The sequence below is a fragment of the Homo sapiens genome, chromosome Y, assembly GCF_000001405.40.
Source record: "Homo sapiens chromosome Y, GRCh38.p14 Primary Assembly".
Taxonomy (NCBI): domain Eukaryota; kingdom Metazoa; phylum Chordata; class Mammalia; order Primates; family Hominidae; genus Homo; species Homo sapiens.
In genome coordinates this window covers 12,483,373-12,507,865 of record NC_000024.10, presented here as the reverse complement: position 1 = coordinate 12,507,865, position 24,493 = coordinate 12,483,373, and the positions used below count along the sequence as shown (strand labels likewise).

The 24,493-nt window shown below is 45.9% G+C and overlaps 2 pseudogenes; both read left to right on the top strand.

Annotated features, from left to right (window-relative positions):
* Positions 1–256: 256 nt before the first annotated feature.
* LOC124905301 (glycoprotein Xg-like) overlaps positions 257–24,493 on the top strand; it is a 69,005-nt pseudogene continuing 44,768 nt past the window's right edge.
* On the top strand, positions 518–23,387 carry XGY1 (XG Y-linked 1 (pseudogene); annotated as a pseudogene).

The window sequence follows — 24,493 nt, the reverse complement described above, 5'->3', positions numbered from 1 at the left end:
CATTAACCCCACACTGGGTATCACTGTACAATCACGTCCTGCAGGAGGAAGATTACAGGCGGCCAGTGTCTTCTCTGATTTCTGGGTTGGTGACTTTGAACTTGCTACAGCTCCCACACCCGCAGCGAGCAGAGTTGCCCAGCAAGTGTGCCGGCTTCCAGAAGCCTGAGATGCCCATTGGTGCTTGGGAACCACCCCAGTTTCCCCATCCTCTGCGCTGCTGCAGATTGGTTGGGGCAGCCCGGGGAGACTGGCTCCGACACACGACTGAGTGTGCCTACACTGGTCCCACAGGTTTTCAGCTGTGGAGTTTGGGATCTGAGCTTGGAGCCCATTTGTTTCTGGCAGTTCGGCTCATATTTTCCACTTGAAGACATCGCCTCCCTTCCTTCCAAGCTGGGAGACCAGAAGTCAACAACAGGAGGGTGGAGAGGCTGGATCTCACAATCCCCTTGGCTGGGGAGTCCACTGAGGTTCTTGCATCCTGAAGCAAACCATGGAGAGCTGGTGGGGACTTCCCTGTCTTGCGTTCCTGTGTTTTCTAATGCACGCCCGAGGTAAGAGGCATTTTGCTTTGAGGGAGATCTGCCTGGGCGTGGATTTTTCTATTCTTGCTTTAAGAAACTCTTTCCAAAGGAGTTGCTATGAAGTGAATGGGGATAATTTGCCCAATGGGATTAGAAAGGAGACTAAGAGCGATGGGTGGCTGAGAGGGGAGGGAGAAGACGGGCTGCTCCCATTTGGAATCTGGGAATTAGATCCAGAAGGGCAGGATGTTAGCTGATACCATCTAGATATTCGCCATATTGTCCTGTTTTGATCCATGTGTCCCAAGCGTTTAAAAAATGACCTATTTAACTCCATGATTCAAGCATGACTGGGTGTGTGGGGAATGTCAGTCATTTCTTTCTGATTTTAAAAATTAGTTCTGACCATTTCCATACAGTAAAAGTAGAGTTGAAACTACTTCATCCCGTGGGGCAGATTACCAGAGATTCGTTTGCCGGAAGGGTTGCATTTGTTCAGATTTTTAAACCTTTTCCTAAACACTGTCATTCATTCTTGCAAATTAAAACCACCTGAATTGTTCACATCAAAAACTTCAATATAAACTTGCAGACTGGCTGTCCCAGACTCCAAGATTAGATTTTTTAGTTCCGTGCGAGGACCTCTTTAAGAAACTCCAACGAACTCATAAAGTATAGGATTTGAACAAAGGTTGAGTAAGTTTCTTTGGTCATTTTAATGTGGCGATTTCAGAGAAGGGAACGCCTGGGCGCATCTTAAGAGAGAGAAGTATTTCTGTTAGGAGTTAAAACACATCATTCAGATGTCCCTGTGGCAGCATTTCCTGTTTATCCTATTTAAAGACATGGACGTCATTAAGATTGGAGTTGGTTGTTTATGGGCGGAGGCGGTGTCGGGATGGATAGATCCTGGTGGACATAGTCTAGGATCTGCAGTGAGAATTTTTTATTATTCTGTGCTGTCTTCAGATCTCACCTAGTAAGTGGACAATGCGGCCGTGCATTCATTAGCTTCTGTTTACAGGGAGATGTTCAACAGCAAACCCACCTCCCCAGAAAAGTACTTCCAGGAGTTTGTATCATTCACAGTAAGAGCCAAAGGTTAACCATATGCCCTTGGGCAAATCAACTTCTACAAAGTGCGGATACAGACAGTTCCCAACTTACCATGGTTTGACATGATGGTTCAATTTAAGATTTTTCAACTTTACAATGGTGTAAAATTGGTATGCATTCAGTACAAACTAAAACTGTACTTTGAGTACCCATACAACTTTTCTTTTTTTTCTTTGAGGTGTCGTGTCGTTTCATTCTGTTGCCCAGGCTAGAGTGCAGTGGCACAATCTCAGCTCACTGCAACCTCCACCTCCTATGTTCAAGCAATTCTCCTGCCTCAGCATCTCAAGTAGCTGGGATCATAGGCGCCCACCACCACACCCAGCTAATTTTTCTATTTTTAGTAGAGACTGGGTTTCACCATGTTGGCCAGGCTGGTCTTGAATCTTGACCTCTGGTGATCCACCGGCCTCCCAAAGTGCTGGGATTATAAATGTGAGATACCATGCCCGGCCCCATACAGCCATTCTGTTTTTCACTTTCAGTACAATATTCAACAAATTATGTGAGGTATGCAACACCTCATTATAAAGTTGACTGTGTGCTAGATGATTTGTCCATCCGTTGGCTGGTGTTCTGACCACTTTGAAGGCAGGTAAGGCTAAGCTATGGCATTTGGTAGGGTAGTTGTATTAAATGCACTTATGACATAAAATGTTTTCTTTTTTTTAATGTGTTTTAATTTTTTTGAGGGAGGGGCCCACTGTGTCACCTAGACTGGAGTGCAGTGTTTCCATCATAGCTCACTGCAGTCTTCACCCCAGGGGTTCGAACAAACCTCCCACCTCAGCCTCCAGAGTAGCTGGGACTACAGGCATTTGCCGCTATGCCTGACTAGTTTTTAAAATTTTTGTAGAGACGGGATCTCACTATGTTGTCCAGGCTGGACTTGAACATCTTAGCTCAAACGATCCACCTGCTTTGGCCTCCCCAAATCTTGAGATTACAGGCATCAGCCACCACACCCTGTCCTGCGCTAAATTCTTTGAATGACAGCAGCACTTCCTATGCACTAGGCATGGATTAACTTAGTTGATTGTCCCTCAACCCTATGACGGGAGTGTCGTGCCTGATGTCATTTTACAGATGGTGTATTAGTCAGGGTTCTCTAGAGGGACAGAACTAATGCAATAGAAATATATATATAGAGAGGAGTTTATTAAGTATTAACTCACATGATCACAAGGTCCCACAACAGGCCGTCTGCAGGCTGAGGAGCAAGGAGAGCCAGTCCAGGTTCCAAAACTGAAGAACTTGGAGTCTGATGTTCCAGCATCCACCATGGGAGAAAGATATAGGCCAGAAGACTAGGCCAGTGTCTCTTTTCACATTTTTCTGCCTGCTTATATTCTAGCCACAGTGGCAGCTGATTAGGTGGTGCCCACCCAGATTGAGGGTGGGTCTGCCCCTTCCAGTCCACTGACTCAAATGTTAATCTCCTTTGGCAACACCCTCACAGACACACCCAGGATCAATACTTTGTATCCTTCAATCCAATCGAGTTGACATTCAGTATTAACCATCACAGATATGGGTAAACTGAGGCACTGAGGATTTGGACGGGGGCAGCCGGCAGCGGAATCTGAGCTGTCCTGTAGCTCTGTCTGGGAAGACTCCAGTGAGCATCCTGCTCTATCCCAAGCCTTGTCTTCTGAAAATCAGAATCATCCCTCCTCCAAGTGTTACAGGAAAGGGGTCCAGATCCAGACGCCAAGACAGGGTTCTTGGATCTCGCTCCATAAAGAATTCAGGGCTAGTCTGTAAACTGAAAACAAGTTTATTTGGAAAGTAAAGGAATAAAAGAATGGCTACTCCGCAGAGCAGCTCTTAGAGCTACTGCTTGCCCATTTTTATGGTTATTTCTTAGTGATATGCTAAGCAAGGCTTCGATTATTCATGCCTCCCCTTTTTAGACCATGCAGAATTCCTGACATTGCCGTGGCATTTGTAATTGTCATGGTGCTGGTGGGAGGGTAACACTGAGGACAACCAGAGGCCACTCTCATCACCATCTGGGTTTTGGTGGGTTCTGGCCGGTTTCTTTACTACATCCTGTTGTATCAGCTAGGTCTTTATGACCTGTATCTTGTGCAGACCTTCAGTCTCATCCTGTGACTCAGAATGCCTTAATCATCTGGGAATGCAGCCCAGTAGGTTTCAGCCTTCTATTGCCCAGCCCCTATTCAAGATGGAGTCGCTCTGGTTCCAGTGCCTCTGACACAAGTAGCGCCCCTTAGGGAGGTTACAGGAGGGCCTGGAAAGAAAGTGAGGTCTGGATCAGGGCCCTTCTGTGTAAATAAGATGATGTACATGCAGCAGCTGGGTATGTCCTGGGTAAAAATTAGTTAAATGCACAGACGACCCTGTTTCATCCCCAGCCATCACCAGCTGGAAATGGAGCACATTCCCAAGATCCCAAAAACATTCTGCAAGGCTGGTGCGATGATTGCTACGAAGTACTTAAGAAAACAGATTATTGTTCAGGATCAATAGCTAATGCATGTGGGGCTTAATGCCTCTGTGACGGGTTGATAGGTGCAGCAAACCACCATGGCACATGTTTACCTATGTAACAAACCTGCACGTCCTGCACACGTATCCCGGAACTTAAAATAAAATAAAGAAGACAGAATATTGTTAATCGTTAATATGCTGTAAATCATTATGATGATTACTAAATTATCAATACAAAAGAAGATAATAGCAAGACGGCCATATTCCTAATAGAGGTTGACATTTTAGCAGCCCTACATTTCCACTGTATTTAATTAGTATTCGCCATCCAATCCAGAGGGGCATGAAGGAGCACGAGACAAAATCAGGTCTTCTAACAGCTGAGAAGAAGCTGAGAACCAGAAGTGGAAACCCCAAAGGGCAGTGTATGAAATGTCATTTATTGAGGGAAAAAAAAGAAAATGACAGAGTTCGATAGAAGAAATAAGCACTAGTGTTTACATAATCAGTAGGGTGACTTTAGTTTACAATAATCTATTGTAGATTTCAAAATAGAAGAGTCAGAATGGTTCTAATATGAAGGAAAGACAAATATTTAAGGTGGATGGATATCCCAAGTAGGCTGATTTGATCTTTACAAATTATATAAATGTAGTAAATTTTTACATATATCCTGAAGCTATGTACATCTGTTATGTATCAATTAAAAATAAATTAAAAGAAAAGGATAATGTCCAGGATATACACCAGCTAAGACAGTCTCTTCCAAGTCTATTGTACATTATTCCCTTATCAGATTTAAAACCTGAGAGTTCCCTGACCCCCCTCACAGAATGTGCGACAGGGGTGTGCTTCATCTCTTTGACCGCCACATACTGAAACCTCTTATGGGACGCAGAACTTGCAGATGGGCAGGTGCAGCAGCTAGCATGAGTGTTTTTGAGCTCTGGGCCCCACGGTAACATCTAGGGGTGGGTGCCTGTGACCCCCGAAGCCCCAGTGGGTGTGTTACGGTGCTCTTTTAGCTCTGCCATCCGCACGTGGCTTAAGTGTTAGCCAGCTCAGTGCCGTCTTGGTACCTGGGTTCTCGTCCGGCATCCAGGAAGAATCAGATCACATGAACAAGCTGAAGGATGGTAAATGCAGAAGACTTTGTTGCCAGGTAGAGGTGACTCTCAGTGGGATGGTTGGGGAGCTGGAAAGGGGATGGAGTGGGAAGATGATCTTCCCCTGGAGTGTAGTTGTTCTGCAGCTAATCTCTTCTTCAACCACCCCAGCTGAACACCTCTCAGTGTTCAGCTGTTCCTTCTCTTCTCTCCTTCTCTGCTGTGCTGCTCTTTGGTTCCTCGCCTTTTCTGCTCATCTGTCTGTTTTCACATGGGGTCTGGGGTTTGGGGTTTATATGGGTACAGGACAGGGAGGCATGGTGGGTCAAAAGGCAACATTTGGGCACAAAAATAGGAATGCCTGTTTCCATTTAGGACTATAGGTTCCAGGCTTGAGGGCGGGGCCTTTGCTGGGGAACTGCCCTCTTCTAACTAGTATCTTCCTGCCTCCTGTCCTTATCAACATGACTTAAAATGTGTATGCATTTGTATAGAGCTGTGTTTCTATGTAAAGACTAGAAAAGACTTATGAAAAAGATCACTCAGACCTCTGAACAGTAGCACATCATATTTCTGAGTACTTCCTGTTGAGTAAAGGTAAGTGAGGATTGTGCCAAGTATTTTTCATTACTTGCTGCATTAGGTTGTCACAGGCTGTTTAGTTTACTTCTAAAAATTGGGATATGGGGAAGTTGTGGGCCGGGCACAGTGGCTCATGTTTGTAATCCCAGCAGTTTGGGAGGCCGAGTTGGGCGGATCACTTGAGGTCAGGAGTTTGAGACCAGCCTGGCCAACATGGCAGAACGCTGTTTCTACTAAAAATACAAAAATTAGCCAGGCATGGTGGGGGGTGTCTGTAATCCCAGCTATTCAGGAGGCTGAGACAGGAGAATCGCTTGAACCCAGGAGGCGGAGGTTGCAATCAGCTGAGATCATACCACTGCACTCCAGCCTGGGTGGCAGAGTAAGACTCCATCTCAAAAAAAAAAAAAAAAAAAAAAAAAAGGAAAAAAACGTTATGATGATCGCCTAAGGTGAGAAGCCATACCATGGCAGCGTACAGAACCCCAAACCACGCCAGCCTCATCCTACGTCTCAGTTATATTTTTCTTGACTTGTTTCTATTCTGGTGTCCCCTCTCTCCCTGCCCCCTCCTTCCCTGCAAAGGATCTAGCAAATTTGTAGGTGTGGAAAGGGAACCACAAATGGGTCATTTCCCTGCCATTGTCACCTCGAGCATGTAGCCATTTCGTGCAGTGATTCTCTGTCTTTGATGTGCAGGTCATCACCTTGAAGGGAGGAGGTATTAAAAGCGCCACCCAGTCCCCACCCACTGAGGTCTTTATTCAGCAGGTGTGGGTCAGGCATTTGGGAGCTGGGAGACCTGCATTTTAAGAAGCACCCCAGGTGATGCCCAAGCGGAGCTATGTGCTTCTTTTAAGAGATGATGACTCTGTGTGCAACCATGTGGTTACCTTTGGGTGGAGTCTCATGGATCACTGCCACAGTGGGGAGGCAGCTCTGTGCTCTCCAATTCGGTGATGTGTCATTCACTCTAAGCAGGCCCAAGGTGACACCCCCAGATACAGATGCTGCCATCCAGCCATTCTCAACCAGGGATCATGTTTATCCACAGGGACACTTGTTGATATCTTGAGGCTTTGAGTTGCCACACTGATAGCAGGGATGCTCCTGGCATCTAGTGGGTGGAGCCCAGGGATGCTGGTCAACACCCTGCAGTGCACAGGACGCCCCACAGAAAAGAGTGATCCAACCTCATATGTCAGTAGGACTGAGGCTGAGGAATCTTGCATTAGCATGAGAGATCCTGTCTGTCTGTCTGCCTATCTCTAGATCTATCTATCATCTACCATTATCCATCGACCTATCTGTCTCTATTATATACACCTATCATCTACCTAATCTGTCAATGATTTTCTGTCTTCTATCATCTATCTATCTATCTATCTATCTATCTATCTATCTATCTATCTATCTATCATTATACCTACTTCTGTATCCAACTCTCATCTGTATTATCTATGTGTGTGTCTGTCTGTCTGTCTGTCTGTCTATCTATCTATCTATCTATCTATCTATCTATCTATCTATCTATCTATCATTATACCTACTTCTGTATCCAACTCTCATCTGTATTATCTATGTATCTGTCTGTCTGTCTATCTATCTATCTATCTATCTATCTATCTATCTATCCCTCCCTCTATCAATCTATCTATTTATCTAGCAGTCCATCATCTATCTATGACATTCTTCTGCTACTCAGGGATAATTGTGTTCCTCAAGTAACACTTGGCAATGTCTGGAAACAATTTTGGCAGTTGCACTGGGATGGGTGTTCTCGCATCTGGTGGGTGGAGATAAGACATGTTGTTCAACACCTTACAGTGCACAGGACAGCACCCATGACAGAGAGTTATGCAGCCCCAAGTGTCATTAGTACTGTAGCGGAGAACCTGCTGTTAGTTGTAACTTCTAACCCTGCGAAAGGGGACAGATTGGAAATGTCATGCTCCTGTACACTGTAGGAGGTATAGTTGTCTGGAGGTATAGTTGTCTGGAGGTATAGTTGTCCTGTACAGTATAGGAGGCACGGTATAGTTGTCTGGGCATTTCTAAATGGATCTTTTAGAATGCACTTGTAGGATCTTTTTCCCATAGGGCATAGAGCCATGGCACATATAACCCAGAAGCTAAGCATTCCATAGTTTCCTTGTTGGAGTAGGAAGGGGCTGTGCAGAAAAAGTCTATGGCTGTTTGGCACCTGAGTGTGAAGACATCTGGCAAATATTGGAGCCAATTACCAGACAAGCACGGAGTCCAAGAAATGTCTCCCCTTTCTTGGATAACAATTGACCCTTCCTGTGAGGGCCCCCCTCATTCCAGCCATTTTCCTCTTTCTCATTGGCACACAGGGGGTAGAAAAGTGGGGTTCTGCCTGCAGGTGGGGCTCTGCCAGACATGGCTAAGCTCCTGGGGATTCCCCCGATGGATCAGGGGCCAGAGGCACCTAAACCTGTGAGCGATGTGTCCAGCCACGGTGCTGAGGCTGGGAAACTCTGCTGTAGTCTGTGAATCCCAACCTCTGGGAGTGCTTCAGATGTTTAAAAACCCAAGAGGAGTCATCTCATCCACAAAAATGTTCGTATTTTTATGTGGCAAAATTATGTAGAAAAAACTAAAAAAAAAGTTTGCAAATCTATCTCCCAAAAAACAGCACATGCTGCTTTCTGCATGATAGGGGAGCGGGGTGATTTTTAGAATTTTCTTCTTCTTGATGTTTGTTAATATGTATATGAGTCAAGGTTCTCCAAAGAAATAGAACCAATAAGATACATTTATATCTAACTCCATATCTACCTATATCTCTGTCTTTCATCTATCTCAAAAGTCTACCTATTTATTTATCATCTATCCATCTATCTGTTTATCTATCTCTCTATTATCTACCTGTTCATCTATCTTTGTCTATCTCCAATATCTATCTTCAATATCTATGTATCTAATCTATGTATCTATGTATGTATGTATGTATGTATGTATGTATGTATGTATGTATCTATCTATGCATCTATCATCTATCCCATCTACCTATCTATTGACCTATCTATCTAAAACATGTTTGTTTTCCTTACTTGGGAGGCCCAGGAGTTAAGGCTGCAGTGAGCTATGATTGCACCACTGCACTGCAGCCAGGACAATAGAGCGGGGCCTTGTCAGAAGGAGAAGGAAAAGGAGGAGGAGGAGGTGGGGGAGGAGGAGGAGGTGGGGGAGGAGGAAGAGGGACAGGAGGAGGAGGAGGAGAAGGGGGAGGGGAAGGAGGAGGAGGAATAAGATGACGAAGAAGTAGGAGGAAGGGGGGGAAGGGGGGGAGGAGGGGGAAGGAGGAGGGGAGGAGAAGGGGAAGAGGAGGAAAGAGGAGAAGGAGGGGGAAGGGGAGAGGAAGAAGAAGCAGCAGCAGGAGGAGGAGGGGAGGAGGAGGGGAGGAGTAAGAAGAACAAGGGGAAGAATAAGAAGAAGGAGGAGGAGGGAGAGGAGGAGAGGAAGAAGAAGCAGCAGCAGGAGCGGCAGGGAGGAAGAGGAGGAAGAGGGAAGAGAGGGAGGAGGAAGGAGGAAGTGGAAGAGGAATGGGATAAGGAAGAAGAGGAAGAGAAAGAGGAATAAGCAGAAGCAGAAGAAAGAAAGATGGAGGGAAGGAAGGAAGGCAAGAGAGAAAGAGGAAGGAGGGAGGAAGGAAGGAGGGAAGGAAGGAGGAAAGTACTTTTCAACCTAAGACAATTTCCTTAAACCCAAATGGATGCCTCCTGATGTTTTCCTAAAAAATATTTTCTTATTTTATTTTAATTACAATAAAACGTAATTATAGCCCCACACAGACCTGCTGATCTAGAATCTGCACGTGGCTGGATTCTGGTCTGAGTCTCACACTCTTTAGGATCTGAGAGGCATTGAGGCAGATGTCACAAGGTGGATGGAACAATTCTTGTGTAAACCTGGCGCTCCACAGATCTTCCCAAGAAGCCTTTCTTTTTCATTCAGGGCACAGGAATGTCATGACTTCCGGAATCATCACTTAACAGCTGGGTGGGTTTCTATATATATATATATATATATATTTTTTTTTTTTTTTTTTTTTTTTTGAGACGGAGTCTCGCTCTGTCGCCCAGGCGGGACTGCGGACTGCAGTGGCGCAATCTCGGCTCACTGCAAGCTCCGCTTCCCGGGTTCACGCCATTCTCCTGCCTCAGCCTCCCGAGTAGCTGGGACTACAGGCGCCCGCCACCGCGCCCGGCCAATTTTTTTTTGTATTTTTAGTAGAGACGGGGTTTCACCTTGTTAGCCAGGATGGTCTCGATCTCCTGACCTCATGATCCACCCGCCTCGGCCTCCCAAAGTGCTGGGATTACAGGCGTGAGCCACCGCGCCCGGCCAGGGTTTCTATATATTTAATGACAGTTCCTCCATGCTGAAAAACGTCTAGTTTTGTAAATCTCTTTCCTTAAGCTATCTCACCCACCTCTCCCCGCAGCCCTGTGTGTTCAGCAGAATCATGGTTCTCCTGAGTTTGCCAATGAAGAAAAGGATACTGACATTAACTTTAAGGAAGAGGCCGGGCACAGTGGCTCCCAGCACTTTGGGAGGCTGAGGCAGGCGGATCACCTGAGGTCAGGAATTCAAGACCAGCCTGGCCAATGTGGCAAAACCCTATCTCTACTAAGAATGCAAAATATTAGCTGGGCCTGGTGGCGTGTGCCTGTAATCCCAGCTACTCAGGAGGCTGAGGTGAGAGAATTGCTTGAACCTGGCAGGTGGAGATTGCAGTGAGCTGAGATTGCACCATTGCACTGCAGTGAGCTGAGACTGTGCCACTGCACTCCAGCCTGGGTGACAGAGAAAGACTCTATCTCAGAAAAAAAAAAATCATTAAGGAAGAGTATTGTTGAGGGCATGGGCCAGGCCTGTGATGTAGCTGAGATGAAACTCTCTCTCCAGATTCCCAAACCCTGGCTGTCTCCACTGAACCAGGCTGTCCAGCGGTAGTAGTTGACCGTGTCCCATGGTTTAAATCTGCTGTGAGCCGAATTGTACCCTCCTCAATTTTATAAATGGAAGTTCCAATTTTGACTGGGTTTGGAGATGGGATCTTTAAAGAGGTGATTCAGGTAAAATGAGGTCACTAGGTTGGGCCTTGATCCAATAGGACTGTGGACCTTATAAAGAAGAGATAAGGACACAGACATGCACAGAGGGATGACTCTGTGAGGACTCAGGGAGAAGATGGCATCCACAAGCCAAGGAGAGAGTTCTCAGGAGGAACCAGCCCTGCCCACACCTTGATCTCAGACTTCCAGCCTCCAGATCTGTGGGAGAATCAATGTCCACTATTTAAGCAGGCTGGTCTGTGGGACTTTGCTATGGCAGCAGCCCCAGCAGACAAACATATTTGTATTCCAATGAGTGAGTTATTTCTGTAAGGGCTGGATTCTGTGCCTCCAAAATTTATATACTGAAGGCCTAATCCCTAGGACCTCAGAACATGACTGTGTTTGGTGATGGGGTCTTTAAAGAGGTGAGAAGGGTACAATGAGCTCAGGAGGTTGTGCCCTGATACAATAGGACTGGGGTCCTTATAAAAAGAGTAGATAAGGACACAGACACACACAGAGGGATGACCCTGTAAAGACAGGGAGAAGACGGCATCTACAAGTCAAGAAGAGAGGCCTCAGGAGGAACCAGCTCTGCCCATGCCTTGATCTCAGAATTCCAGCCTCCAGGACTGTGGAAGAATAAAACTCTGTGGTTTATAAGCCACCCAGCCTATGGTATTCTGTGATAGCAGCCTGCAATGGACTAAGACATCTCATTAGAAGAGCAGATGAGGAAACAGACACACCCACAGAGGGATGACCACATGGGGACACATGGAGAAGACAGCATCTACAAGCCCAGGACAGAGGCCTCAGGAGGAAGCAGCCCTGCCCATACCCTGATCTCAGACGTCCAGCTTCCAGGACTGTGGGAGAATCAATGTCTGTTGCTGATAAGCCACCCAGTCTACGGCATGCTGTGACAGCAGCCTGAAATGGACTAAGACACCTCATAAGAAGAGGAGATGAGGACACAGACACACACAGAGGGACAACCCTGTGAGGACACAGGGAGAAGACAGCATCTACAACCCAAGGAGAGAGGCCTCAGGAGGAACCAGCCCTGGCCATAGCTTGATCTCAGACTTCTAGCCTCAAGGACTGTGAGAATCAAGGTTGTTGTTTAAGGGGCCCAGTCTTTGGGATTTCTTTGTAACAACTCTGGGAAGCCATTACCAAGTCTCTGTCCTGCAAAGTGAGATCCATGGATCTGCAGCCTTGACATCCCCTGGGAGCTGATGAGAAACAATGTGTCTTGGGCCCAGACAGACCTGCTGAAGCATAGTCTGTGTGTCACCCATGTGCTGAGGGATCCATGTGCATGCCACTCTGGGAAGACGGGTTTACAACACTCCATCGACCAGTGCCTCATTGCATGGTCTGCGGTATTTTTCTTGAGTTTTCCTTGCACCAAAGATGTCTTGCCTTTTATGATGAATGATCATTCCTTCCTCTTTGATGACAAAATACTTCGACCCCTGCAGACCCTGTCTGTTGTGTTACAGACATACACTGAGGCCTGAATTCTCATTACTAATGTTTGCTGTAATAGAGCTTCAATCTGCAACTGCATAATATGGTCACTGGGAAGTCAAGAACGGGCCAGTTGGTTGACCTTCTGGGGAGAGGCTGGGCTGCTTGGATGCTGAGACCGTGGAGGGTTCATGGGTTCCGAGGAGCAGATCATGCACCAGGGCGGCCTGCTCAGCTCTGGTGTCTGCAGCCCCGGTGAGCTTGAGCATTAGGGAGTCCCTGGATATTCATGTTGAGGTGTGGAGGAGGAGACTCCAGCTGTGTTTGATTTCCTGTCCTGCTGGAAATATAAACTTCTTAACCAATTAGAGAACAGAATGGATTTCATCTTATCCATGGGGCTAAAGTAGAATTCAGCCCTTGGCAAACAAGCCCCCTGGGAATAAGATTCCCCACTGGGGCAGCAGCCTTCCTTGTCACTTTCTGTTGCAACCTACGGTCCTAACCTAGTCATATGATTTAATTTTTTTTACTCTGTGAATCATGCCGTCCTGGGAGAGAATGAGAGGAGCAAGAACACCCCTCTTAGGGGCTTGCCAGGCACTCTCCCTAGCATGGAAATAAAGGAAAATCTTGAGTTCCTTCAAGGGAAATTCCAGGCACCTGGCTGGCCTTGAGAAGTACATGGAGCGGCTTGATAAGCAAGGTGATTGTAGTGTAGAACAATAGCCAAGGAAGTTAGAGCCTCAAGATGTTTAGTTTCCTGTAAAGACTAAAGATAACATCTTTTTTGAGATGGAGTCTTGCTCTATCACCCAGGTTGCAGTGCAGTGGCACAGTCTCAGCTCACTGCAACCTCTGCCTGCCTGGTTCAAGCGATTCTCATGCTTCAGGCTCCCAAGCAGCTGGGACTACAGGTGTGCACCACCACTCCCTAATTTTTTTATTTTTAGTAGAGATGGGGTTTCACCATGTTCATCTGGTCTCAAACTCCTGACCTCAGATGATCCACCCCCTTTGGCCTCCCAAAGTGCTGGGATTACCAGTGTAAGCCACCATACCCAGCCAAAATAACATCTTAATATATGGTCCTGAGTTGATTTGCAGGAACCCAGACCCCCACCAAATGACAAATGCCATCTGCTGGCTTATAGACCTCAGGTAAGAGAAACTGAATTCTCATTACCAATATTTGCTGTAAATTCCTTCCTAGAGACATGGAGGGTGGAGAGCTGGAGGAAGTCACACCCATGGGCCAGAACTAACATTGATTTCTGCTGACCCCAAATGCTCAGACAAACTTCGCCTCCTTAACCAATGACAAATCAGAGAAACTTTGAATCCACATTAAGCCCCTGCTTCCAGGTATCCCGCCTTTTTAGATCAAAGCAATGTATAGCCTGCATGTATTATGGCTTTGCCTATAACCTCTGCCTCCTTGCCACTGAAAACCCCCACCTACTGGCCACCCAGGAGGTTGGGTCTTAAGGCATCAAGGAGGTTGCTTGATGCCTTCTAAATAGCTTGGAATAAACGCCTCACTTCCTCACGCTGCAATCCTGATGGCAGTGTTCGGCTTTACTGCACAGGGCCGGTGGACCTAAGTTGAGTTAGTGGGAGGTGTTTGAACCAGAGCAACTCCAGCTTGAGTAGGGTCTGTGTAAAATGAGGCCGAGAGCTGCTGGGCTGCATTCCCTGATGGTCAAGGCATTCTAAGGCACAGGATGAGATAGGAGGTTGACACAAGACACAAGTCATAAAGACCTTGCTGATGAAACAGCTTGCCGTAAAGAAGTCGGCCAAATTTTACCAAATCCAAGATGGCGACGAGAGTGACCTCGGGTGGTCCTCACTGGTATCTTCCCACCAGCCCCATGACAGTTACAAATGCCATGGCAATATCAGAAGTTACCCTATATGGTCTAAAAAGAGGAGGCATGAATAAGCCACTCCTTGTTTAGCATATCCTCAAGAAAGAACCATACAAATGGGCCACCAGTGGCTGTATTCTAGGGAGCAGCCATTCTTTATTCCTTTACTTTCCTAATAAACTTGCTTTCACTTTACTCTATGGACTTACTGCAAATTCTTTCTTGTGCAAGATCCAAGAACCCTCTCCTGGGGTCTGATTCCAGACCCCTAAGAACAATTATCATATGCTTTCTATATATACACATATATATTTTTTAATTGCTGAACAGGAGTCAAAGAGAAACCTTAGGATTTGCCTAAAGGAAGTCAAGATTTGTTCTTCTTGGGGTCCCTGTGCCAGCTTTGTAAAACCTCAGAACTTTCCCCTCTGTGAGTTTCCTCAAGGTGAGAAGGGTTCTATGGGTTTAAGACCCACTGTCTTCAACTGCAGCAGCTGATCCCAGAAAGATTGGTTTAAATGAACACTTCACAGGAAACCAGTACAATCCTATGTAAAGAAATAAAAAACAAGCCAGAGGTGGTGGCTTACACCTGTAATTGCAGCACATTGGGAGGCCAAGGCAGGTGGATCACTTGAGGCCAGGAATTCAAGACCAGCCTGGCCAACATGGTGGAACCTCAAAAATTAGCTGGACATGGTGGTGCGCACCTGTAATCCCAGCTACTTGGGAGGCTGAGGCACATGAATCACCTGAACCAGGGAGGCAGAGGTTGAAGAGAGCTGAGATTGTGCCATTGCACTCCAGCTTGGGCAACATAGTGAGATTCTGTATCCAAAAAAAAAAAAAAAAAAAAAGAAGAAAACAATTACTTTAAAGGGCAGATGTTTCTCCTGGACACACAGATCAAAGGACATTGGATTTAATAATGAAACAGAAGAGCCTGTCTGAATTTACTAATGTGGTTGCACGTCCCGTAATGATTGCAGTTGGTTCTCATTCAATTCCGCAGTGTATAAATTCTGCTGATAATAGCTATAATTGGTGTCAGGGATTTAGACAGTCTCTGTATGTTCCTTTTTATTTTCTGCTCAGAGCCTGCTGGGAGCTGATTTTCTTCTTTAGATTGAGGTAAATAATTCAATGGGAAGTGGAGGTTTGGGTGTGGGCTGATTGCTCTTCTGTGCTATGTGGCAACCATTGCCTGGAGGCAGGTAATGTTCAGTGGGCATTGACCTTGACATTGTGTAATTATTATTCCAACAACAGCACTCTGCTTTGCAAAATTGTTGTTTGTTATATTGATTTTGTGGGGTCATGGCCCCTGAAGATTTGCTAAAAATCATGGACATGAAGCAGATTGATTAATTGGAGAAAAGACATAACAAATGTACTTAACGTGTATACACAGGAGCATTCAGAATGAAGACCCCAGATACAAGGGGAGATGGTCCATTTTTATGCTTTAGTTCAACCAAGTCTGGACAGCTGTGTAGAAATAGGGTTGGACAAAAAGGGCCTGATCCAATGCTAATGGTCTGAGTGGGGAAACCCAGCCAGACCTGTGTGTCTAGATTCTTCTTGGCCTCTCTGAGCAGCACTCCTTCCTTCTGGGTGTGAGGCGGGACCCTCTCTGGAATGGGGTTCTTAGGATGCCCAAACAAGAAGAGGTCAGGTAATTTCCTCATGGCCAGTCTTTGTACAGATAGAATAGAGGGAAAGTTAGAGTCCTGTTTTTAGGTTTTATGGCTGGCTTCGGGAAAAAGTCGTTCTTGTTTCTGGGACCTGCCTTGGGGAAGATGGATTCTCGTCCCTACAGTGCCTCAGGAGAATGGGACTCAGAGACAGGAGAGCTGGAGAAGTTCTAAGACAAGCTTCTGCTTCTGAGGCTGTTACTAAGGCCTGCATTTGGGGGTATCATTTTCTGAACCTGAACAACTTGTATGTCTGAATCAATGTAAAGAATTCAGAGGGTGGCGGAACTCTAATAAGAAGAATCTTTGAATCTGGCAGGGGTGGAATTTGAACTCAAGAGGGATTTGGTGACTCCAGGCTACAGAAGAATGCCTCCAAGCACTACATCACATGGCTTTGCTCCAAAGGGTCCTGAGGTGAGCCACTTAATCTACATCTCCAGGATGCCATAGTCGCAGCACAAAATGAGATTGCTTTCTTCTTGGGGGTTTAGGGATCCCAGAACACAAGGGTTTGATTAAAAACTGCTAAGTTCACTAAGTAGAAGCAAAACAAATCAGAAACAGATCTCCTGTCCTGCCCCATCTTACGTTCTCAGAAGAAAATAAACCCTGCAAAAGCAATAGTGTCATGTGCAACCCGACCTTGGAGACAGAGACACCAGAGTTAGCGCTGTTTACCTGAGACATCTCCCAGCCCAGGGGTCTTACTCCAGGCCCATGAGGACCCCAGCCATGGCTTTGCTATAACTTCCCTGGAGAGGAGAGAGGTCAGGGGGCCCTGCCTGGTGTGCAAGACTGGAGACTCTTAGTGCTCAGGCGGCCATATGCTGGCCAGAGTCTGTCTGGTTTATGTAACGAGGTCTAGGTGTGACCGACAGCAGCCTCATGTGTGTGAGTCACGCATGCAGCAACTTCTGGCTGCAGTGCAACCCCGGAAACCAAGCAAAGCCTAAAACCCCAGGCTCCGCTTCCTCTGTGATCCTCCCCACCCCTAATTCCTGTCATCTCTCAGGGTCATCCGGAGCATCTCAAAGCTGAAGGAGCCTCCGCTGCAACCTGGCCTCCTGCTGCAGGATGAGACGAGCTGTCTGCAGCCCTCCCGTGCCACCTGCCTGTTTTATGCAACAGCATTTCGAGAGGAGGGGCTGGGAGGGGAGAGATAACACCGAGGCCTTTGGTTATTTAGGGCAACAGCAGGGAGTGGTCTGGGTGCAGAGATTAGAGGAGATTGTTAAGTGGTTGCTGAGGGGATGCCTGGAACTGCTGAGATGTGCCAAGATATAACACAGTGAAAGATATTGGTCAATGGTGAATCTAAATCGGAATCTAAATTCTCAGGGTGTATGCATAGCCAAGACACTTAACTCTGGGGTCCTGGACAGGTGTCTCAACTGGAACTGCTGACAGCCTCAGAGGGGAGATGTCTCATGGATCCAAGAGACTGACATGGCTCCCGTCCCCCAGCCCAGTCTGAGCAGCTTGGACGGTGATGACCAAGAGAGTTGGAGGAGGCCAGATGTGGAGGCTCACTCCTGTAATCCCACCATTTTGGGAGGCTGAGGCAGGTGGATCACTTGAGGTGAGGAACAAGAATTATTGAACCCAGGAGGAGGAGGTTGGAGTAGGCTGAGATTATGCCATTGCACTCTAGCCTGGGCGACAGAGTGAGACTCCATCTAAAAAACCAAATATACAAAAAAAAAAAAAAAAATTGGGAGATTGCTGGGGAGATCAAAGACAGGCCAGGTTGTTCTTATAGGGGAGCCTGTAGTGATCACTGGTAACAGAGAACGTCATCTGAGAGGGACATGGGGGCTCCCAGAGTTTGAGAGAAATGGCCGTGTGGGATTTGACCTGTGATGGCACCGCCAGCTCCCAGCCTCCAGTCTGGGCCCGGGGCGGCTGTTGTGTGCACCCTGGGCTCAGAGTTCCCCTTCCCTCCAAGGTTTGTAATTTTGTCCTCACTTAGGGACTCCTGCTTGGGGATGCACCTTCTGCTCTGGAGAGGCCCTAATTGCCTCCACAAGGAGCTATAAAGCATGCCTGGTGGCATCTGGTTGCAGTCATGCCACAGACTGTATGAATCTATATGGGAGCCCTTGAACCTTACCCCAGAGTAAACATCATCCAGGCAGATGGATTTCTGCAAGGGAGATGATAACAGAGGTGGGGGAGACCCACCAAAAAGAGCTCACTGGGTTCTCCAGGCTTAGCCTCCTCCAGGGCTTAGTGTTTGAGCAAGACATTTTCACCCCTGGACAATTCTGAAAATTCTGACTGCTCCTGTCTTGCCCTAAACCTGCCAGAACTTAGTTTCTTCCTTTGGGAAATATGCATGCTGGTCATACCAGCATCCTCAGGTTGGCAGATGAGATGCTTTGGTGCCTGGCATTACTGCAATAGAACTCAATGCATAGGAATGCTGATTCAGTGCCCTCCCAGCTGCATCCTCTACTTCCTGGTAAGTTCTCCAGTGGTATTTTCTCTGCAGGGTTGGTATTTGCAGGGGTTAAGGGAGAAACAAGGGCAAGGTGTGCATATATGTCAGCAAGAGGGACCCGTCACCCTCACAAATTCTGCAGTATATTTTTAATGATGAGTCACAAAGATGTGAATGTTCTCATCTCTCTGCTGCAGACACATTCATTAGGTTAACTGCTTTTGGATCAGGTAGGAACCTCAGCTTGTCCACACAGGTTGCTTCCTGATCTGTATTTGTCAGTGTAGGCTAGCTGCTGTAACAAACAGCCCCCAAAGAATTAAAAGTTTGTCCCTTGTGTTGCATCCAGGGGATGTGGCAAAGGAGTCCTCTGCTCCATATAGTCTCTCAGGGATCCGGGACCCTCATATTGTTCTGCTTCACCTTCTCCTAAGGCAGCCCCTCTCAACCTATACTCTGTGTGTGTGTGTGTGTGTGTGTGTGTGTGTGTATGTGTGTATGTGTTTGTTTATGTATGAGGGAAATCCCAATCTTAAGCTGTGAGTGGGAGAGTCCAGGAGAGAAGTCTATGTGCTTGGAGAGAAGTCTATGTGCTTGGAGAGAAGCTTCCTTCAAAGTTCCCTGGCCATGAGTAGGAATGAAGCTCTGACACAAGTTGCAATGTCAATGCAACTCGGAAGCATCATGCTCAGTGAAAGAAGCCAGGCACAAAATACCACATATTGTAGGATTCTATTTACATGAAATTTGCAGAATAGACAATTCATGGAGACAGAAAGTGGATTAGTGTTTGTCAGGGGCTGGGGAGGCAGAGGGGAATTGACTGCTGAATGGGGACACTGGTCTTGTACTGGGTGATGAGTATGCTCTGGGACTAGGTGGAGGTGGTGGTTGCATCTCCCACATAGCTCATGGTCAGGTTAGTTTGAGTCCTCTGGGTGACCTTAGGCTTGCAGTAGGAGGGGAGCAGCGTGAGGTGAGGAACAAAGGTGATTCTGGCCTTTCCATCATGGGGTGACTTATGCCCTGTTTACTCCCAATAGGTCAAAGAGACTTAGCAGACGCCCTTGTTGACCCTGGTAAGAGCTGATATTTCAAGGGGAGCCTTCTTTTTTCAGCTCAAGTCTAACAGCATCAGCTGTATAGTTACTTTGGGGTTGGGTTGGGCCAGTGTTGGGAATTTCTTCATTTTGAGATCTCTGTTCTTCACAGGAGATTGCAGACACCTTGAGACAAACCTTTACACACTCTCTGAAACTCTCAGACTCATTTCCTGGTAGGTCTGTACTTCTGAAGCCTGTGGTTTAGGAATATGCTAGTATCTTATTATTTTATTTTATATTATTTTATTGAGATGGGAGTCTTTCTCTGTTGCCCAAGCTGGAGTGCTGTGGTGCAATCATAACTTAACACACAGCCTCAACTTTCTGGCTCAAGCAATCTTCCCACCTCAGCCTCACAAGCAGCTGAAACTACTGGTGTGTGCCCCCATGCCAGTTATTTTTATTTATTTTTTGTAGGCAACTATGTTGCCTAGGCTGGCCTCAAACTCCTGGGCTCAAGCAATTCTTCCACCTTGGTCTCTCAAAATCCTGGTATTACAGAGGTGCACCAGCATGCCTGGACCAGGACCTGCTTTTCTTACAGTTCAGTTCATATCCCTCATTGTCGCACACCCTCCCAGAGCACACTACATTCCATTTTCCCACTGGCTTCTCTGGTCACCTTCACTCATGAGGCTGTGAATTTTTCTATTCCAGGGCACTTAGGGCCTGGAATCTTCCCATTCTGTGTTTTTTGTCCATCCAAGTTCAGCTGGAAACTTAGTGGCTCAACGGAAAGCTGAAAATATGCATCCCGGACCCAGGAGAATGTCCTGCTTGAGGCAGAGAGTCTAATTGAGATTCAGGTGTATTCTGATAGTGGTGATTGGGAGAAAGGGAAAGATTTGGTTTCCAATGCAAAGATTTATTTTGAAAGAAAAATAAACTTTTGTGTACACAGAGGAAGAATCCATTGGGCTTTAGCATTGGGAACAACTGGTTGACCAGTGCAGTTGCATAATGGTGTTTGTTGGAGGAAGAGAGAATGATAACCAGATCTGATCCTAAAAAGCCAAAAACAAGATGATAGGAACTCATCTCTCTCCAAGTTTTCTGCACACTGTGATGTTTTTGCTAATAATTATCCTACAAAGCAGATACAAAATTGTTGTCAGTGCAACAGGAAAATGTAATGACTCACCCCAACATGGAGATGCCATTTCTCCCATGAAGTTAGAAAAGGTGAAGGTTGAATCCTACCCTGTCAAGGCAGATTGAGGGGTGGGGGTTGGAGGCAGGTGTGTGGTTGCAACCACTTTGGAAGCATTGGGGGATTATCTCCAAAATTCAGACCGAGTATGTAGCACCAGCGTTTGGTCTGGATAAAGAATGAGGCATATCTGCAAGAGAACCCTGTGCAATAGTGAAGGAGGGGCTGGCTGGTAGGCTCAGATAAAGAACGAGACGTTATTGATCTGAAAGATCACTGACATGTGACCCAGGAGTTCCACTTCTAGACAGATACCCAAGAGAATTGGGAGCAGGGACTCAAACAGTTATTTGTGTACCCATGTTTGCAGCAGCAATATTCACAATAAGCCAAAGGTGGAAACAACCCAACTGTCCATCAGGGGATGAATGAATGAACAGAATGTGGTCCCTCCAGGCAACAGAATATGATTTGGCTGTTAAAAAGGAAGGGGGTTCTGATGCGTGCTACATGAGCCTTGAAAATGTGCTCAGTGAAAGAAGCCAGGCACAAAAGGCCACAGGGTGTAGGATCCCATTAATATGAAATGTCCAGAATAGGCAAATTCAGAGAGACAGAAAGTGGATTAGCGATTGTTGGGCTGGAAGAGGGGAGAAAAGGGAGGGACTGCTCACGGTTATGGGGTCTCCTTTTGGGGGGATGAAACTGTTCTGGAACTAGATACAGCTGGTGATTGTACAATATTGTGAATATATGAAACACCATTGAATTGTACTCCTTAAAATGTCAAATTTTATGATATGTGAGTTTCACATTGATTTTTTAAAAATCACAGAAATAAACTCCCTTTCCACTCACCTGCTACTACATTTTCATTGCTCACCTAGAGGACTGCCAGTGCCTGCAAACACATCTTTGAAAGCATCGTTTTGCTACCAAGAGCCTCCCATGAATGGGCAGGCATGTGCCTGTTCATAGACAGCCCTTCCTTATGGGAAGGAAGCCCCAGTGCATAGGAACCACAGTCACCTGCATGGCGACTGTGGGGAATTCACTTTTCACTGTCTATACTGCCTGGGCTTTAAGAAACTCTGTGAGTGTATCACTATTTTAAAAAATCGTTATAATTTTACATTTTAAAAAGCAGACAGAGAAAGGAAAGACGGGAGAGAGGGAGGGAGGGTAGGACGAGGGAGAAAGGGAAAAGGAAGAGAAGCAAAAAAGAAGAAAACAAAGAAAGGAGGGAGAAAAGAGGAAGTGAGGCAGGAAAATAGGAGAGAAGGAAGAAGAGAAGAAAAGGAAAGAGACAGGGAAGGATGGATGGAAGGAAGAAGAAAGGAGAGGAGATAAGGAAAGACTGAGGGAGGGAAGGAAGGAAGAAGAGTAGGAAGCAAGGAGGAAAGAAAGAAAGGAGGGAAGGAAGGAAAGACAGAAAGTTGGGGAAGAAAGGAGGAAGAAAGAAACGAAGGAAAGAATAAGGTGAGGAAGGAGGGAAGGAAGGAGAGAGGAAGAGAAGAAAGGATTGAGAACAGGGAGGAAAGAAGAAAGGAAGGTGTGGAAGAAGGCAAGAAGAAGGAGCAAAAGGAAAGAGGGGAGGAAGGAAGAAAGGAGAGAAGGAAGGAAGGAGAGGAGGAAGGAAGTAGGGAGGGCAGGGAGGGAGAGGGAGGTGGCAATAGGGAGAAAAGGATATGGGAAACCTTCAATTAAAATACAGGACATGTGAAACCATATGCTGCATTTGGAGCTTCAAGCTCTCCTTTTTGCAGTCTCTGCACTCCCAGTGAATTTCCCCACCACACACACACCCCTATGTTCTAGCTGCCTCCTATCAAGGCAATGCTAGGCTGTTATGTAAACCATGCTTTCAAATACACTGTTTCCTCTGTTTGGAAGAAGTCTGGCCTGCACAGCCCTGAAGCTCCAATTTTCCCAGCTATGGCTGACTCTGCCTCCTGTGAGCCATCTTCCTCAAACCTCCTCCTGCCCTTGTCTGCCCATCCACACTGCAAACCCAGGTTCATTGAGCAGGGCAGTCACAGGCTGCACTGTGAGCACTCCTGACCTGATATCCACATCCATGCATACATATTTGCTGAATGAATAAATGAATGAATGAAAGAAAGTGAGAAAAGCCATCATTCTGGAAGCTGCAAGTCTTTCTCCATCTTTTCTTTTGCCTTCCCCCTGCCCCGCCCTCCACCGTCCAGCTCTATGGTGGCTCTATGGGCAGGTGGCTCACTTACCTGTATTGGATGTTCTCAGCTACTTCAGCCATCCTGTGGGCATCCTCATAGCCTCAAGGGTGGATTGATTGTTTTTTAATGAATTTTAAGGGTGTTTTCTTGCTTTTTTTCTGAATTCAACATGGAATTTGTGTCCATATTATTTACTTTGTATTGCTTTGTCACTCCCTTTTCATCTTTCATCAGGGCATTTATGGCCTTTGTTTGTGCTTCCAGTGACACTTCAATGCATATTGCATTTATTTTCTCTCTTTGTTCACAGAACCCACCAAGAAGCCAAACTCAGGTGAGTGACTCTTTGGCTGGGAAAACTGAGGCAATGTCCTTGAACTGATGCTTATGGAGGGATGGTTGAGGAAGTTTTACAGAACTGTAGGGTGTATGAAGGAGATGCAACAACTGTACCAGATAGCAGATATTGAAAGCAAAATGTGGTATAAGGCAAATGTAAATCACAACCACAGTGAAGCACCACTTCGTACCCACTGAGTTGGCTAAAATCTAAAATGGAAAATAACAAGTGTTGGCAAAGATGTGACGAAACTGGAATGTTTGTATGTTGCTGGTGGGAGTCTAAAATGGTACAGTCACTGTGAATAAATGTTTTGGTGGATACTAAAAAAGTTAAATATAGAATTACTCTATGAACCAGCAATTCCACTCCTAGGTATACACTCAAGATAATTCAAAACAGGTGTTCCAAGAAAAACATATATGCAAATGTTCAGAGCAGCACTATTCATTATAGCTAAAAGGTAGAAATAACTCACATGTTCAACAGTGGAAGGAATGGATAAACAAAATGTGGTCCATCCACACAATGGAATATTATTTAGCCTTGAAAAGGAATGAAGCACTGAAAATTGTGCAAAATGGTTGACCCTCAAAAACATTTTGCAAAGAGAAAGAAGCCAGACACAAAAGATCACATAGTGGATATTTTTATGAATATTAAATTTCAAGACTAGGCAAATCCACAGGACCAGAAGTAGTGTCGTGACTGCCAGGGGCTGGAGGGGAAAAGGAGAGTGACTGCTTAATTAATTCTAGGTCTCCTTTTGGGGAAATGAAAGTGTTCTGGAAGCACACAGAGGTGATGGTTGCATAACATTGTGAATGTTCTAAATGCTCCCGAATTGTTCACTTTTAAATGGTTATTTATATGCAAATTTCACCTCAATTTATTTTTTTTGATTAAAAAGGTAACCTTTGGCGGAGGGCAGTGGCTCATGCCTGTAGTCCCAGCAATTTGAGAGGCCAAGGTAGGCAGATCATGTGAGGTCAGGAGTTTGAGATCAACCTGGCCAACATGACGAAACCCTGTTTCTACTAAATGTACCAAAAATTAGCTGGGCATGATGGCACATGCCTGTAATCCCAGCTACTCAGGAAGCTGAGGCAAGAGAATCACTTGAGGTTGCAGTGAACCAAAATCACGCCACTGCATTCCAACCTGGGTGACAGAGCAAGACTCCATCTCATAAAAAAAGAAAAAGAAATAACTCCCAGACTTCTAGCAGACTCCTTGATGGCCATGAGAGATGTCAGGAAGTAAATAGACAGGCGTTTATAGGTTGTTCAGGAAATGTTCACTATTAAGCAAGAATTGAAAATGCAGCTAAATTGCTGTTGGAGAGTGATGAT